This window comes from Homo sapiens, chromosome 4 (assembly GCF_000001405.40).
Source record: "Homo sapiens chromosome 4, GRCh38.p14 Primary Assembly".
In the NCBI taxonomy this organism is placed as follows: domain Eukaryota; kingdom Metazoa; phylum Chordata; class Mammalia; order Primates; family Hominidae; genus Homo; species Homo sapiens.
Window position 1 is genome coordinate 47,291,550 of NC_000004.12, and position 15,596 is coordinate 47,307,145.

Genomic DNA, 15,596 nt, shown 5'->3' on the forward strand with positions numbered 1-15,596 from the left:
AAGCTGAAGACACTCAATGCCAGCCCATGAAAGCAACTAGGAGGGGGGCTATACCCAGCAAAGCCACAGAGGAAGAGCCACCGAAGACTATGGGAAGCTACCTCTTTCATCAGCGTGACCTGGATGTGAGTGAGACATGAAGTCAAAGGAGATCTTTTTGGAGCTGTAAGACTTGAGTGCCTTGCTGGATTTCAGACTTGCATGGACCCTGTAACCCCTTTGTTTTGGCCAGTATCTCCCATTTGGAATGGGTGTATTTATCCAATGCCTGTACCCCCCACTGTATCTAGGAAATAACTAACCTGCTTTTGATTTTACAGGCTCATAGGTGGAAGGGACTTGCCTTGTCTCAGATGAGACTTTAGACTGTGGACTTTTGAGTTAATGCTGAAATGAGTTAAGACTTTGAGGGACTGTTGGGAAGGCATGATTGGTTTTGAATTGTGAGGACATGAGATTTGGGAGAGGCCAGGGGTGGAATGATAAGGTTTGGTTTTGTCCCCAGCCAAATCTCATCTTGAATTCCCAAGTGTTATGGGTGGGACCCAGTGGGAGGTAATTGAATCATGGGGGCAGGTCTTTTCCATGCTGTTCTTGTGGTAGTGAGTAAGCCTTATGAGATCTGATGGTCATTACAAGAGGGAGTTTTCCTGCACAAGCTATCTTCTCTTGTCTGCCACCATATGAGACTTGCCTTTCACCTTCCACCATGATTGTGAGGCATCCCCAGCATGTGGAACTGTAAGTCCAATAAACCTCTTTCTTTTGTAAATTGCCCAGTCTTGGGTATGTCTTTATCAGCAGTGTGAAAATGAAATAATACATGGACAAGTATACCCTTTAAAAAGTTTACTTTAAAAAATTTACTTCTAAAAATAATAACAAATTATAATTGAAAATACTTTACTGTTGTTACTTAATATCTTTAGGCAAGCCCCTTGAGGGCTCTAATAAATGGAAAACCTAGAAAAGCTATTTTGAAAAGAGTTTTAAACAGTACATCCCCTGAGCTTAAAACAATTTATGGAAAGCAAAGGCATTGAGAAATTTCCAGGGACTTCCCATAAAGCCTACTCTCTGAGTTTGCTTTGGGGCTGTGGTAAGAGACTATTGCAGACTGGGTAATTTATTGTGAACAGAAATTTATTGACTGATGGCACTGGAGGCTGCGAAATCCAAGATTGAGGAGGGCCTGGCATCTGGCAAGGGCCTTCTTGCTGTGTCATCCCACAGGTAAAGGTGAAAGGACAAGAAAGGGTAAGAGACAGAGGAAGTGAGAGAGGGAGGGAGGGGGCTGAAATCCCTCTTTTATAATGAGCCCACTCTCATGATAATGTTGTTCATCAATTCATGAGGGTGGAGCACTCATGGCCAAGTCACCTCTTAATAGTCCAACCTTTTAATATTGTTACAATGGCAATTAAATTTCAACATTTAAATCATAGCACAAACACTCTGCAATATTTATATCAATAACATTTTATCAATAACAATTTATATCAATAACAATTTATATCAATAACATTTTACCTATACAAATTTGGGGGCAGAGTAAGCACATAGTTTTGTTGTTGTTGTTGTTGTTGTTTTTCTTGGTTTGTTTGTTTTTGAGATGGAGTTTTGCTCTTGTCGCCCATGCTGGAGTGCAGTGGTGCAATCTCATCTCACCACAACCTCCGCCTCCCGGGTTCAAGTGATTCTCCTGCCTCAGCCTCCCAAGTAGCTGGGATTACAGGCATGTGCCATAATGCTTGGCTAATTTTGTACTTTTGTAGAGATGGGGTTTCTCCATGTTGTCAGGCTGGTCTCAAACTCCTGACCACTGGTGATCCACCCACCTCGGCCTCCCAAAGTGCTGGGATTACAGGCATGAGCCACCGTGCCTGGCCCTAAGCACATTTTCTTACTTAACAACTTCTCATGTGCAATCCTTACAAAAGTACTTGAGGATTTTCAGGAGCACTCTGGGAAAATAAAAAATAGTTTTAAATGCAAAAGATATCTATAGATATAGATATAAACTGATTTAGAAATGGAAAAATCAAAAAATTATGAAAGATTTGAACATTTAATTAAGATAAGGTCATGGATGCCAGTTTCATAGTCATGTAACAGTGTAAATGAATCCAAGATCAAAATTTTAAGAACTATGGCTTTAGGATAAACCTTTTTTATTTCTTGAATAATAAAGACACACACATACAGTTATATTTCTTTGTTTCTATTGCTCCTAAAATAGTCTCAGTCCTATTAATTATAGCTTGTAAGCAAAGTAATGAACTTGTATTTCACAAAGAAAACTAGGGAGTGTAATATTGAAAATTGTCCATTATACATAAGCATTTCAGCTGACTAGCAGAACTTATGAAAACATATAACACAAATTTATATGACCTTATATATTCTTTTAACATCTTTTTAAAGTGACTAAAATAAACACATTCATTAACATGCCCCAAAGCTACAACCCCTCCACAGCATAAAAAGGAAGCAAATGTACATAAATATAAAAGCATGCTTAGTAATCAATGTTTAAGTATTCTACCTTACTTAGAAATTATCTAGGTGGGGGGCAGCCAAGATGGCCAAATAGGAACAGCTCCGTTCTACAGCTCCCAGCATGAGCAACGCAGAAGACAGATGATTTCTGCATTTCCATCTGAGGTACTGGGTTCATCTCACTAGGGAGTGCCAGACAATGGGTGCAGGACAGTGGGTGCAGTGCACTGTGCCCGAGCTGAAGCAGGGCGAGGCATTGCCTCACTCGGAAAGCACAAGGGGTCAGGGAGTTCCCTTTCCTAGTCAAAGAAAGGGGTGACAGATGGCACCTGGAAAATCGGGTCACTCCCACCCTAATACTGTGCTTTTGCCGACAGGCTTAAAAAACGGCGCACCAGAAGATTATAACCCGCACGTGGCTCGGAGGGTCCTACGCCCACAGTCTCGCTCATTGCTAGCACAGCAGTCTGAGATCAAACTGCAAGGTGGCAGCGAGGCTGGGGGAGGGGCGCCCGCCATTGCCCAGGCTTGCTTAGGTAAACAAAGCAGCCGGGAAGCTCGAATTGGGTGGAGCCCACCACAGCTCAAGGAGGCCTGTCTGCCTTTGTAGGCTCCACCTCTGGGGGCAGGAAACAGACAAACAAAAAGACAGCAGTAACCTCTGCAGACTTAAATGTCCCTGTCTGACAGCTTTGAAGGGAGCAGTGGTTCTCCCAGCACGCAGCTGCAGATCTGAGAACGGGCAGACTGCCTCCTCAAGTGGGTCCCTGACCCCTGACCCCCGAGCAGCCTAACTGGGAGGCACCCCACAGTAGGGGCAGACTGACACCTCACACGGCCGGGTACTCCTCTGAGACAAAACTTCCAGAGGAATGATCAGACAGCAGCATTCGTGGTTCACGAAAATCCGCTGTTCTGCAGCCACCACTGCTGATACCCAGGCAAACAGGGTCTGGAGTGGACCTCTAGCAAACTCCAACAGACCTGCAGCTGAGGGTCTTGTCTGTTAGAAGGAAAACTAACAAACAGAAAGGACATACACAACAAAAACCCATCTGTACATCACCATCGTCAAAGACCAAAAGTAGATAAAACCACAAAGATGGGGAAAAAACGGAGCAGAAAAACTGGAAACTCTAAAAAGCAGAGTGCCTCTCCTCCTCCAAAGGAATGCAGTTCCTCACCAGCAACGGAACAAAGCTGGATGGAGAATGACTTTGACGAGTTGAGAGGAGAAGGCTTCAGACGATCAAACTACTCCGAGCTACAGGAGGAAATTCAAACAAAAGGCAAAGAAGTTAAAAACTTTGAAAAAAATTTAGACGAATGAATAACTAGAATAACCAATACAGAGAAGTGCTTAAAGGAGCTGATGGAGCTGAAAGCCAAGGCTCGAGAACTACATGAAGAATGCAGAAGCCTCAGGAGCCGATGTGATCAACTGGAAGAAAGGGTATCAGTGATGGAAGATGAAATGAATGAAATGAAGCGAGAAGGGAAGTTTAGAGAAAAAAGAATAAAAAGAAACGAACAAAGCCTCCAAGAAATATGGGACTATGAGAAAAGACCAAATCTACGTCTGACTGGTGTACCTGAAAGTGACGGGGAGAATGGAACCAAGTTAGAAAACACTTTGCAGGATATTATCCAGGAGAAAGTCCTCAATCTAGCAAGGCAGGCCAACATTCAGATTCAGGACATACAGAGAATGCCACAAAGATACTCCTCGAGAAGAGCAACTCCAAGACACATAATTGTCAGATTCACCAAAGTTGAAATGAAGGAAAAAATGTTAAGGGTAGCCAGAGAGAAAGGTCGGGTTAACCACAATGGGAAGCCCAGCAGACTAACAGCGGATCTCTTGGCAGAAACTCTACAAGCCAGAAGAGAGTGGGGGCCAATATTCAACATTCTTAAAGAAAAGAATTTTCAACCCAGAATTTCATATCCAGCCAAACTAAGCTTCATAAGTGAAGGAGAAATAAAATACTTTACAGACAAGCAAATGCTGAGAGATTTTGTCACCACCAGGCCTGCCCTAAAAGAGCTCCTGAAGGAAGCACTAAACATGGAAAGGAAAAACCAGTACCGGCCACTGCAAAATCATGCCAAATTGTAAAGACCATCGAGGCTAGGAAGAAACTGCATAAACTAATGAGCAAAATAACCAGCTAACATCATAATGACAGGATCAAATTCACACATAACAATATTAACCTTAAATGTAAATGAGCTAAATGCTCCAATTAGAAGACACAGACTGGCAAATTGGATAAAGAGTCAAGACCCATCAGTGTGCTGTATTCAGGAAACCCATCTCACATGCAGAGACACACATAGGCTCAAAATACAAGGATGGAGGAAGATCTACCAAGCAAATGGAAAACGAAAAAAGGCAGGGGTTGCAATCCTAGTCTCTGATAAAACAGACTTTAAACCAACAAAGATCAAAAGAGACAAAGAAGGCCATTACATAATGGTAAAGGGATCAATTCAACAAGAAGAGCTAACTATCCTAAATATATATGCACCCAATTCAGGAGCACCCAGATTCATAAAGCAAGTCCTTAGAGATGTACAAAGAGACTTAGACTCCCACACAATAATAATGGGAGACTTTAACACCCCACTGTCAACATTAGACAGATCAACGAGACAGAAAGTTAACAAGGATACCCAGGAATTGAACTCAGCTCTGCACTAAGTGGACCTAATAGACATCTACAAAATTCTCCACCCCAAATCAACAGAATATACATTTTTTTCAGCACCACACCACACCTATTCCAAAACTGACCACACAGTTGGAAGTAAAGCTCTCCTCAGCAAACGTAAAAGAACGGAAATTATAACAAACTGTCTCTCAGAGCACAGTGCAATCAAACTAGAACTCAGAATTAAGAAACTCACTCAAAACCACTCAGCTACATGGAAACTGAACAACCTGCTCCTGAATGACTACTGGGTACATAATGAAATGAAGGCAGAAATAAAGATGTTCTTTGAAACCAACAAGAACAAAGACACAACATACCAGAATCTCTGGGACACATTCAAAGCAGTGTGTAGAGGGAAATTTATAGCACTAAATGCACATAAGAGAAAGCAGGAAAGATCCAAAATTGACACCCTAACATCACAATTAAAAGAACTAGAAAAGCAAGAGCAAACACATTCAAAAGCTAGCAGAAGGCAAGAAATAACTAAAATCAGAGCAGAACTGAAGGAAATAGAGACACAAAAACCCTTCAAAAAATTAATGAATCCAGGAGCTGGTTTTTTGAAAGGATCAACAAAATTGATAGACCGCTAGCAAGACTAATAAAGAAGAAAAGAGAGAAGAATCAAATAGACACAAAAAAAATGATAAAGGGGATATCACCACCAATCCCACAGAAATACAAACTACCATCAGAGAATACTACAAACACCTCTACACAAATAAACTAGAGAATCTAGAAGAAATAGATAAATTCCTCGACACATACACCCTCCCAAGACTAAACCAGGAAGAGGTTGAATCTCTGAATAGACCAATAACAGGCTCTGAAATTGTGGTAATAATCAATAGCTTACCAACCAAAAAGAGTCCAGGACCAGATGGATTCACAGCCAAATTCTGCCAAAGGTACAAGGAGGAACTGGTACCATTCCTTCTGAAACTATTCCAATCAATAGAAAAAGAGGGAATCCTCCCTAACTCATTTTATGAGGCCAGCATCATCCTGATATCAAAGCCGGGCAGAGACACAACCAAAAAAGAGAATTTTAGACCAATATCCTTGATGAATATTGATGCAAAAATTAACCAAATCCAGCAGCACATCAAAAAGCTTATCCACCATGATCAAGTGGGCTTCATCCCTGGGATGCAAGGCTGGTTCAATATACGCAAATCAATTAATGTAATGCAGCATATAAACAGAATCAAAGACAAAAACTACATGATTATCTCAATAGATGCAGAAAAGGCCTTTGACAAAATTCAACAACGCTTCATGCTAAAAACTCTCAAGAAATTAGGTATTGATGGGACGTATCTCAAAATAATAAGAGCTATCTATGACAAACCCACAGCCAATATCATACTGAATGGGCAAAAACTGGAAGCATTCCCTTTGAAAACTGGCACAAGACAGGGATGCCCTCTCTCACCACTCCTATTCAACATAGAGTTGGAAGTTCTGGCCAGGGCAATTAGGCAGAAGGAAATAAAGGGTATTCAATTAGGAAAAGAGGAAGTCAAATTGTCCCTGTTTGCAGATGACATGATTGTGTATCTAGAAAACCCCATCATCTCAGCCCAAAATCTCCTTAAGCTGATAAGCAACTTCAGCAAAGTCTCAGGATACAAAATCAATGTGCAAAAATCACAAGCATTCTTATACACCAATAACAGACAAACAGAGAGCCAAATCATAAGTGAACTCCCATTCACAATTGCTTCAAAGAGAATAAAATACCTAGGAATCCAACTTACAAGGGATGTGAAGCACCTCTTCAAGGAGAACTACAAACCACTGCTCAATGAAATAAAAGAGGATACAAAGAAATGGAAGAACATTCCATGCTCATGGGTAGGAAGAATCAATATCGTAAAAATGGCCATGCTGCCCAAGGTAATTTATAGGTTCAATGCCATCCCCATTAAGCTACCAATGACTTTCTTCACAGAATTGGAAAAAACTACTTTAAAGTTCATATGGAAACAAAAAAGAACCTGCATTGCCAAGTCAATCCTAAGCCAAAAGAACAAAGCTGGAGGCATCACGCTACCTGACTTCAAACTATACTACAAGGCTACAGTAACCAAAACAGCATGGTACTGGTACCAAAACAGAGATATAGACCAATGGAACAGAACAGAGCCCTCAGAAATAACGCCGCATATCTACAACTATCTGATCTTTGACAAAGCTGAGAAAAACAAGCAATGGGGAAAGGATTCCCTATTTAATAAATGGTGCTGGGAAAACTGGCTAGCCATATGTAGAAAGCTGAAACTGGATCCCTTCCTTACACCTTATACAAAAATTAATTCAAGATGGATTAAAGATTTAAATGTTAGACCTAAAACCATAAAAACCCTAGAAGAAAACCTAGGTATTACCATTCAGGACATAGACATGGGCAAGGACTTCATGTCTAAAACACCAAAAGCAATGGCAGCAAAAGACAAAATTGACAAATGGGATCTCATTAAACTAAAGAGCTTCTGCACAGCAAAAGAAACTACCATCAGAGTGAACAGGCAACCTACAAAATGGGAGAAAATTTTCGCAACCTACTCATCTGACAAAGGGCTAATCTCCAGAATCTACGATGAACTCAAACAAATTTACAAGAAAAAAACAAATAACCCCATCAAAAAGTGGGCGAAGGACATGAACAGACACTTCTCAAAAGAAGACATTTATGCAGCCAAAAAACACATGAAAAAATGCTCATCATCACTGGCCATCAGAGAAATGCAAATCAAAACCACAATGAGATACCATCTCACACCAGTTAGAATGACCATCATTCAAAAGTCAGGAAACAACAGGTGCTGGAGAGGATGTGGAGAAATAGGAACACTTTTACACTGTTGGTGGGACTGTAAACTAGTTCAACCATTGTGGAAGTCAGTGTGGCGATTCCTCAGGAATCTAGAACTAGAAATACCATTTGACCCAGCCATCCCATTACTGGGTATATACCCAAAGGACTATAAATCATGCTGTTATAAAGACACATGCACACGTATGTTTATTGCAGCACTATTCACAATAGCAAAGACTTGGAACCAACCCAAATGTCCAACAATGATAGACTGGATTAAGAAAATGTGGCACATATACACCACGGAATACTATGCAGCCATAAAAAATGATGAGTTCATGTCCTTTGTAGGGACATGGATGAAACTGGAACTCATCATTCTCAGTAAACTATCGCAAGGACAAAAATCCAAACACCACATGTTCTCACTCATAGGTGGGAATTGAACAATGAGAACACATGGACACAGGAAGGGGAACATCACATTCTGGGGACTGTTGTGGGGTGGGGGGAGGGGGGAGGGATAGCATTAGGAGATATACCTAAGGCTAAATGACAAGTTAATGGGTGCGGCACACTAGCACAGCACATGTATACATATGTAACTAACCTGCACATTGTGCACATGTATCCTAAGACCTAAAGTATAATAATAATGAAATTAAAATTAAAATTAAAAAAGTGTTAATAGTAAAAAAACAAAGAAATTATCTAAATAGCCAGTGATTATTCATTAATTAAGTTCAATATCAGTCCTAGGCTTTAAGAGGGACATTGTAAAAATTATCTTCAAGCTGACATATCACAAAACGTAATTACTATTGACATAAAGTTTGTCAGAATAATGATCCAGTTTATTTAAACACAAATTTATATTTTTCATAATCTTAAATATTATGTAGTATTAATGTTAGCATATTTTATTTATATTAGCACTTATTTATCTAAATCAATCAAGACACAGCCCCTTTATATTGAGTCTTTATAATGTAATTTGTCAATGCTCTCATACAATGAGAGGTAAAGACCTTTTTAAATTTTTTATTTTTAATATTTGTGGGTACATTGTAGGTGTATATATTTATGGGGTACATGAGATATTTTGATACAGGCACAAAGACACTTAGTGTGCTTATAAATCCAGATCAACACTTTTGCCACAGGTTAATAGTAAACATTGAAACCCAAAAACTCATAGTCCAAATATCAAACAGCTTTCCATTCCACTGAATACAAGATTCTTAATTGATTTAAGCTCAAAATGGACAAAGAGGCTATACAGATACATACATATGTATATATGTATATGTAAACAAACCAGTCTCTCTGTTATCTGTCACCCAAAGAGTATGGAAATCTTATCTCTATAACCTGTTAGCCATTTGTATAAATCACCAGATGATCAGATCATGAAACCAAATTCCCAGTCATTGCTGTCACCAATGTAGAATAAATTAGTGGCTATAAGCAAACCAGAAACAAAAAAAGAAACAAAAATCAGTAGAGGGAAGGAAAATAGAGAAATTCAGTCAGCAAACTTAGGTTATGTTGACTCTTAGGTTTCATTTCTAGGAACCAAAAAGACACACCAACCTTAAGTATCCTAATGAGATACACTACTCTGGCAACATATTTTACCTGGCTCTGTTAAATAAATCCATTGGATATTATAGTAGATTACCTCCAAAATGGTTCATGGGCAATCAGTTTAAAAAGATAAATTCATGTAAAAGTATAAAACAAAATGGATTAAAGATTTTAATAAGACTGGACATGGTGGCTCACACCTGTAATTCCAACACTTTGGTAGTTCAAGGCAGGAAGATTGCTTGAACCCAGGAGTTCAAGACCAGCCTGGACAACATAGTGAGATCCCCATCTCTACAATAAAAAATTTAGCCAGGCATGGTGGTGCGTGCCTGTAGTCCCAGCTACTTGGGAGACTAAGGTCAGGGGATCGCTTGAGCCCAGGAAGTTGAGGCTACAGTGAGTCATGATCACACCATTGCACTCCAGCCTGGGCAACTGAGCTAGACTCTGTCTCAAAAAAAAAAAAACATTTCAATTAACCCATTAATTAATGAGAGATTTATTAAGATGCTACAGCTCATTCAAAGGAGAATCCAAGGACTAAGCATGCTGAAAAGACATAGTATACTGAAAAAACATAGCATACTGAAAAGCACTTACAAATATATGCAAATTGGCAAAATTGGCCAGTATCCACAGGGCAATAATCAATTACAACTGCAATTCTACAGGTAGAAATTTGTTGCTTTTCTATCATTTTTAAATAATGTAGAGAGTTCCAAAATAATTCATAGACAGTGAAGGTGAGATAATTTTGACTACTAGACATCTGGTCATCTTTTTGGTTCATTTCAAAATCTTTCACAATTTTTTTTCCTACAGAATGAAAGGTAAAGCCCTTTCTAAGTTACAAATATAAAGAAATGTAGAGTGTTTATAAATTCGGATATGTACTTTGCCACAGATCAAGATTAAACATAGCACAAGATTCATGGTCATATGTTTCCCTCCTCTGATATACTAAGATTTCTCTTTTGATCCAACAATTCCCAATGTACAGGGGAGATACTGTGAGGATTTAAAAAGATAATATATGTAAAGTGCTTAGTACCGTTTCTTCCATTTTCCTATTTCTAGTTGCTGTATTAAATGTAGCATTTATCTATAAAATGGAGCAACTTATTTATAGAAAATTTGAATGTAAAATTTTAGGAAATGACTCAAGAGAGGAATGTTATTTTTACTTATTTTTATTAGAAAAACCTTCTATTTTCATAAGTGATATTATAAGTTCGGCATATTTCTGAATATATCATTTACTGTAAGACTACTAATAATTTATATAAGATTCACAAATATTAACTTAATAAACTGCATTTAAATATTTTAAAATATACAAAATTCAAGAATCCTTTGCTGTGACTCATGTTTTTAAACCCAAATTATGATGCATAAGGAATATTCAAAATTAGGCTTTATGTGTTTATTGTACAATATTTTCTTAATTAACAATTAGGTCTAAAAATAAGATTTTCAGGGTACAAGATCTTGAATGTACTCAGTATAATAATGATCTCTACTAAAATGTAGCTCTAATTTACGCAGTTCTTGTGTAATAGGACTTCACAATTTGTTTATTCATTTAAATAGGCAAGGTACCAAAAGAGCCTTTCATTCAGATTAATTAATTACTGGAGTTAATTGGAACATTCAGGTTCCAATTTCAGGTTACCATAAACCTGAAAATGTTTATCATGACTTTTATTATTCTGAAGTGTAATGGTCACAGAAATTAACTATGTTTAATGTAACCTAGGCAAAGTTCTATGTATCATTTCCCTTGTTAAGAAGTACATTTTTTAACTTTAACAATGTATGTGCTATGTGCTCACATGTTCTTTATGAATACAGTGTATTTAGGGGTTTGTTTTGTTGTTTTTAGTTTGAGAGGTGGTGGTAGGAAAGGGAAGATGAGAAGAAATGCACATTTATTTACTCTGAATTTCTAGTTACTAAAACTTTATTTTAAAAAGTTTGACTACTATAAAGAAAGCACAGAACCTCTGTGCATTTTGTAATTTATTTGAAATTGATTTCTAGAAATCACAGCCTTCTTGCAGTGTAAATGATGTATTTCTACACAAATGGAAATAAACATGAATAAATTTGCATTATTAATCTTTAATAAAGAACAATGTTGATAGTTTAAATTACACTTTAAATGTTTAAGGTGAATGTTGAAGGTGTGCTCTCTCTCTCTCTCTCTCTATATATATATATATCATTCTAATAATGCCAATCAAAAATATATAAAACTTACATAGGAAATAATATCAAGTTACTTCTTGTGACAAACTATTTTTGAAATATCTTTCTATATGTCCATGTATGTTTCAGTTTTAATGCTTCTCTAAACATTGCTTTATTTTCTTCATTTTTTTACTCTGTCTTGAAAGTACAAATATAAGATCAGATTTATTTAAAGTTACCTTTTTATCATTTATTTTTAACTGACAAAAATTGTTTATATTTATTATGTACAACATGCTATTTTGAAATATCTATACATTGTAGAATGGCTAAATTGTTCTAATTCACATATGCATTACCCCACATATCGTTTTTTAAAAATCTACTCTTTTAGCAATTTTCAAGAATACATTATTATTAACTAGAGTGACTGATTATCTCTCTAATACCCTTTCCCCACCCAGTCCCTGGTAACCAGCATTCTATTCTCTACTTCTATGACTTTAACTTGTTAGATTCCACATATGAGTGAAATCATGTGGCATTTGTCGTTCTGTGCTGGGCTTATTTCACTTAACATGATGTCCTCTAGGTTTATCCATGCTATTGTAAATGACAAGACTTCCTTCTTTAAGACTGAATAGTATTTCACTGTGTATCTGTACACCATGCTTTCTTTATCCATTCAACTGTTAATGGACACTTAGTTGATTCCATATCCTTGCAATGAACATGGGAATGCAGATATCTCTTCAACAGACTGATTTTGTTTCCTTTGACTATTTACCCAGTAGACGGATTGCAGGATCATATGGTAGTTCTATTTTTAATGTTTTGAGGAACTTCCATCCTGGTTCCATAATGGTTGTACTAATTTACATTCTCACCAACAGTGTGCTAGGCTTCTCTTTTCCCCACAACTCACCAACATTTATCTTTCATCTTTTTGATAATAACCATTCTAATGGATATGAGGTAATATTTTGATTTTAATTTGCACCTCTAATGATTAGTGATATTGAACAATTTTTTCATATACATGTTGGTTATTTGTATGTCTGCTTTTGAGAAGTATCCATTCAAATCCTTTGCCCATCTTTTAATTGGGTTACTTGTTTTCTTGCTATTGATTTGTATGAGTTTCTTAGATATTTTGGATATTAACCCCTTGTCAGATGTTTGGTTTGCAAATTCTTTCATTTCATAGGCTGTCTATTATCTCTGTTGATTGTTTTCTAAACAAATTGCTTTTGACATAATTTTTCCAGTTTACAATGTTACAAATGGAAATTAAGCAAATTTAGATGATATTTGAAGTACAAATTGGATTGTGATCAAATTCACAATGGGTTGTAACACTAGCAGTGAATCAGAACCATATGACTTCATTTATCTTCCCCTGGATTTTATGTATGGAGCTACTAAAATCTGCCAGAAAATATTAATTTTTAATTGTTCATGAAGTTAGCATTCTAATGACACTAATCAAAATGATGTTTTAATGGTTAAAAACAGAAATCCTCTTGTACCATGTGAATACTTCCTTTTCTCATAGAAAAGTCCAGCCACTGGTCCACTCACTTAACATGGGAGGAAACTCAGACATAGATTAATCACTGAAGGCCTCATTCATTTATTCTTTTGGCAAGGACAGTCATTTTGTTTCTTGAAAAGAAACCAACATTTTGTACTTCGAGGCCCTAATCTGTTTGTATTCTTAATAGCAAGAGAAGTAGGACCTTAACCCATGTTTATGCTTAGACTATTCGATGTGTATACCAGTGTTTTAGCCGCCTCTCTCTCAAGCCACAGGGTGTCTAAAATTTAACAATTGAGAGTTCCTAAAATATCTAGCTTAATTTGAGCATACTTTTAGTAGTTTCATGGCCCTGGAAATTGTCCAACTGACAATGATCTGTAGTTGTTTATTTAACCAATGGACTAAAAATGATTTTTAATGAGAATTTAGTCAGGAGAAAGAAAATGGATCTTTACCATGAATATATTTTTCAAGCAACAGTGGCATAATTTTTTAATGAAGATATCACACTGGTTGTCTTCTTTCTTCTTTAGAAAAGTAATGATTTCAGTGTTTCCTTAGTTTCCATATTAATTTCATTACCTTACACATCAATTCTGTGTCAGACACTGAGCTGGGCCCTAGTAAATGGTTCATTATGAGATCATTTCCTATGGGGTACTTACCATCTGTTCAGGTGGAAGTCACACAAGAAGCAAGTAATCAAATAAATGAATGTGTAATTGCAATAATGAGAAATGTGGAGAAATATGTGTCAGTTTCAAACACCAAGATCCGTGTAAGTTGATGAATTTCTTCATTGAAGGAACTCATTTTGAAAGATCATAATTATCACCCAGTATTAAATACCAATTAGGTATAGAGTCAATGTGATGGAGAGATAATCTTTGTGTTCCTTTACCTTTCCTGTTGTAACTCAAACTGGGGACAGGAAGGTGGCTATGCCCAGTTCAAAGCAACATTTAAAATAAGAGTGTAAGTGGAGATATTTTGGGATATTTTGGGATATTTTTCTTTTTTTAAATATCAGAAAGGTAATGTGCTGACCTCATAACAAAGTTTGAGAGAGGCATGTCTTACACATGTGTGTGAAAATTAAATCATCATGCTCATGTACTACAAAAGGAACTTCATTTGAGAATTTATCTGTTTGTCTAAGGATATCAAACTGGAAAGTAACAGAGAGGTTAAAAATATAACAACATGTTGCCCTATTTGCTTCAGCTTCCTTTAAAGAAAGAACAATGGAAAGATAGACAAAAGATGGAATGTAACAAACCTGCACATTCTGCACATGTATCCCAGAACTTAAAGTAAAATAAAATAAAATAAATAACACAATTGACAAGAAAAAAAAAAAAAGAAGGGAAGGGGAGGAAAAAGAAAAGAGGGATGGGAAGAGGAGGGGTGGGGTAGGAGGAAGGGGAGGATTTAAGGTGGGAGGGAGGGGAACAGTGAGAAGAAGGTGCGGGGTAGAGATAGAAGGTGCGAAGTAGAGATGGGAGGTGCAGGGTAGAGATAGGAGGAAGGGAGAGGAGAAGGGAGGGAGGAAAAGAGGAAGGAAAGGAGGGAGAGAAAAAGGAAGAAAGGAACCAAGGATGGGAGGAGGAATTATAGATTAATCCAATACCACCTTCATCCCATCCTCTTTTTTCCTTCCCCTACCTCTCCCTCCCCAGAGATAACCACTATTCTAAAATTACTGTGTATCCTTTCAATGTGTACATTTTTAAAAATTTGCTACACATATGTGATTCCCTAAGACATATATGCTAATGTTTCATTCTTATAAAATTTTAAATAAATGTAGTTTTTGTAAGCATCTCTTCTTTTTTTTGTTTGTTTGTTTTCCACACAACACTATGTAAGACATACCCATGTTCATACATGTAGACCTATTTCATTCATTTTAAATGCTGTAAAGTAATCCAGTGTATATGCACTAGAGGTGTGTATCCATTTAGCTTTGCTGGACCATTTTGGTGTTTACTCATTTTGCTTTTACAAGGAGTGCTTGAGGAACATCTCTACTTACGTTTCCTTGTGTGTAGCAAGTAGGGAACTAGAAGTATAGTGGCTGAGTCAAGAGGTAATCACTGAATCAATATGTTGTCAAAATGTTTACCATGGTGGATGTATCCATTTATTTTCTCACCAGAAGTATGACTCCTAATTTTCCCAAAGGGACAAAAAAATCCAATGTCACCAGACAATCTTGGCCAATCTCAGACAGCTA

General features: G+C 37.2%; 1 protein-coding gene and 1 non-coding gene across 4 annotated transcripts in view; one reads left to right on the top strand and one right to left on the bottom strand.

Moving 5' to 3' along the window:
* Positions 1-15,596, top strand: part of GABRB1 (gamma-aminobutyric acid type A receptor subunit beta1) — a 432,801-nt gene that overhangs the window by 297,903 nt on the left and 119,302 nt on the right. The gene's annotated exons all lie outside the window — the stretch shown is intronic.
* On the bottom strand, positions 14,385-14,488 carry LOC124900908 (small nucleolar RNA U13). The gene has a single exon (XR_007058550.1). It is a non-coding gene; the product is annotated as a small nucleolar RNA U13 (small nucleolar RNA).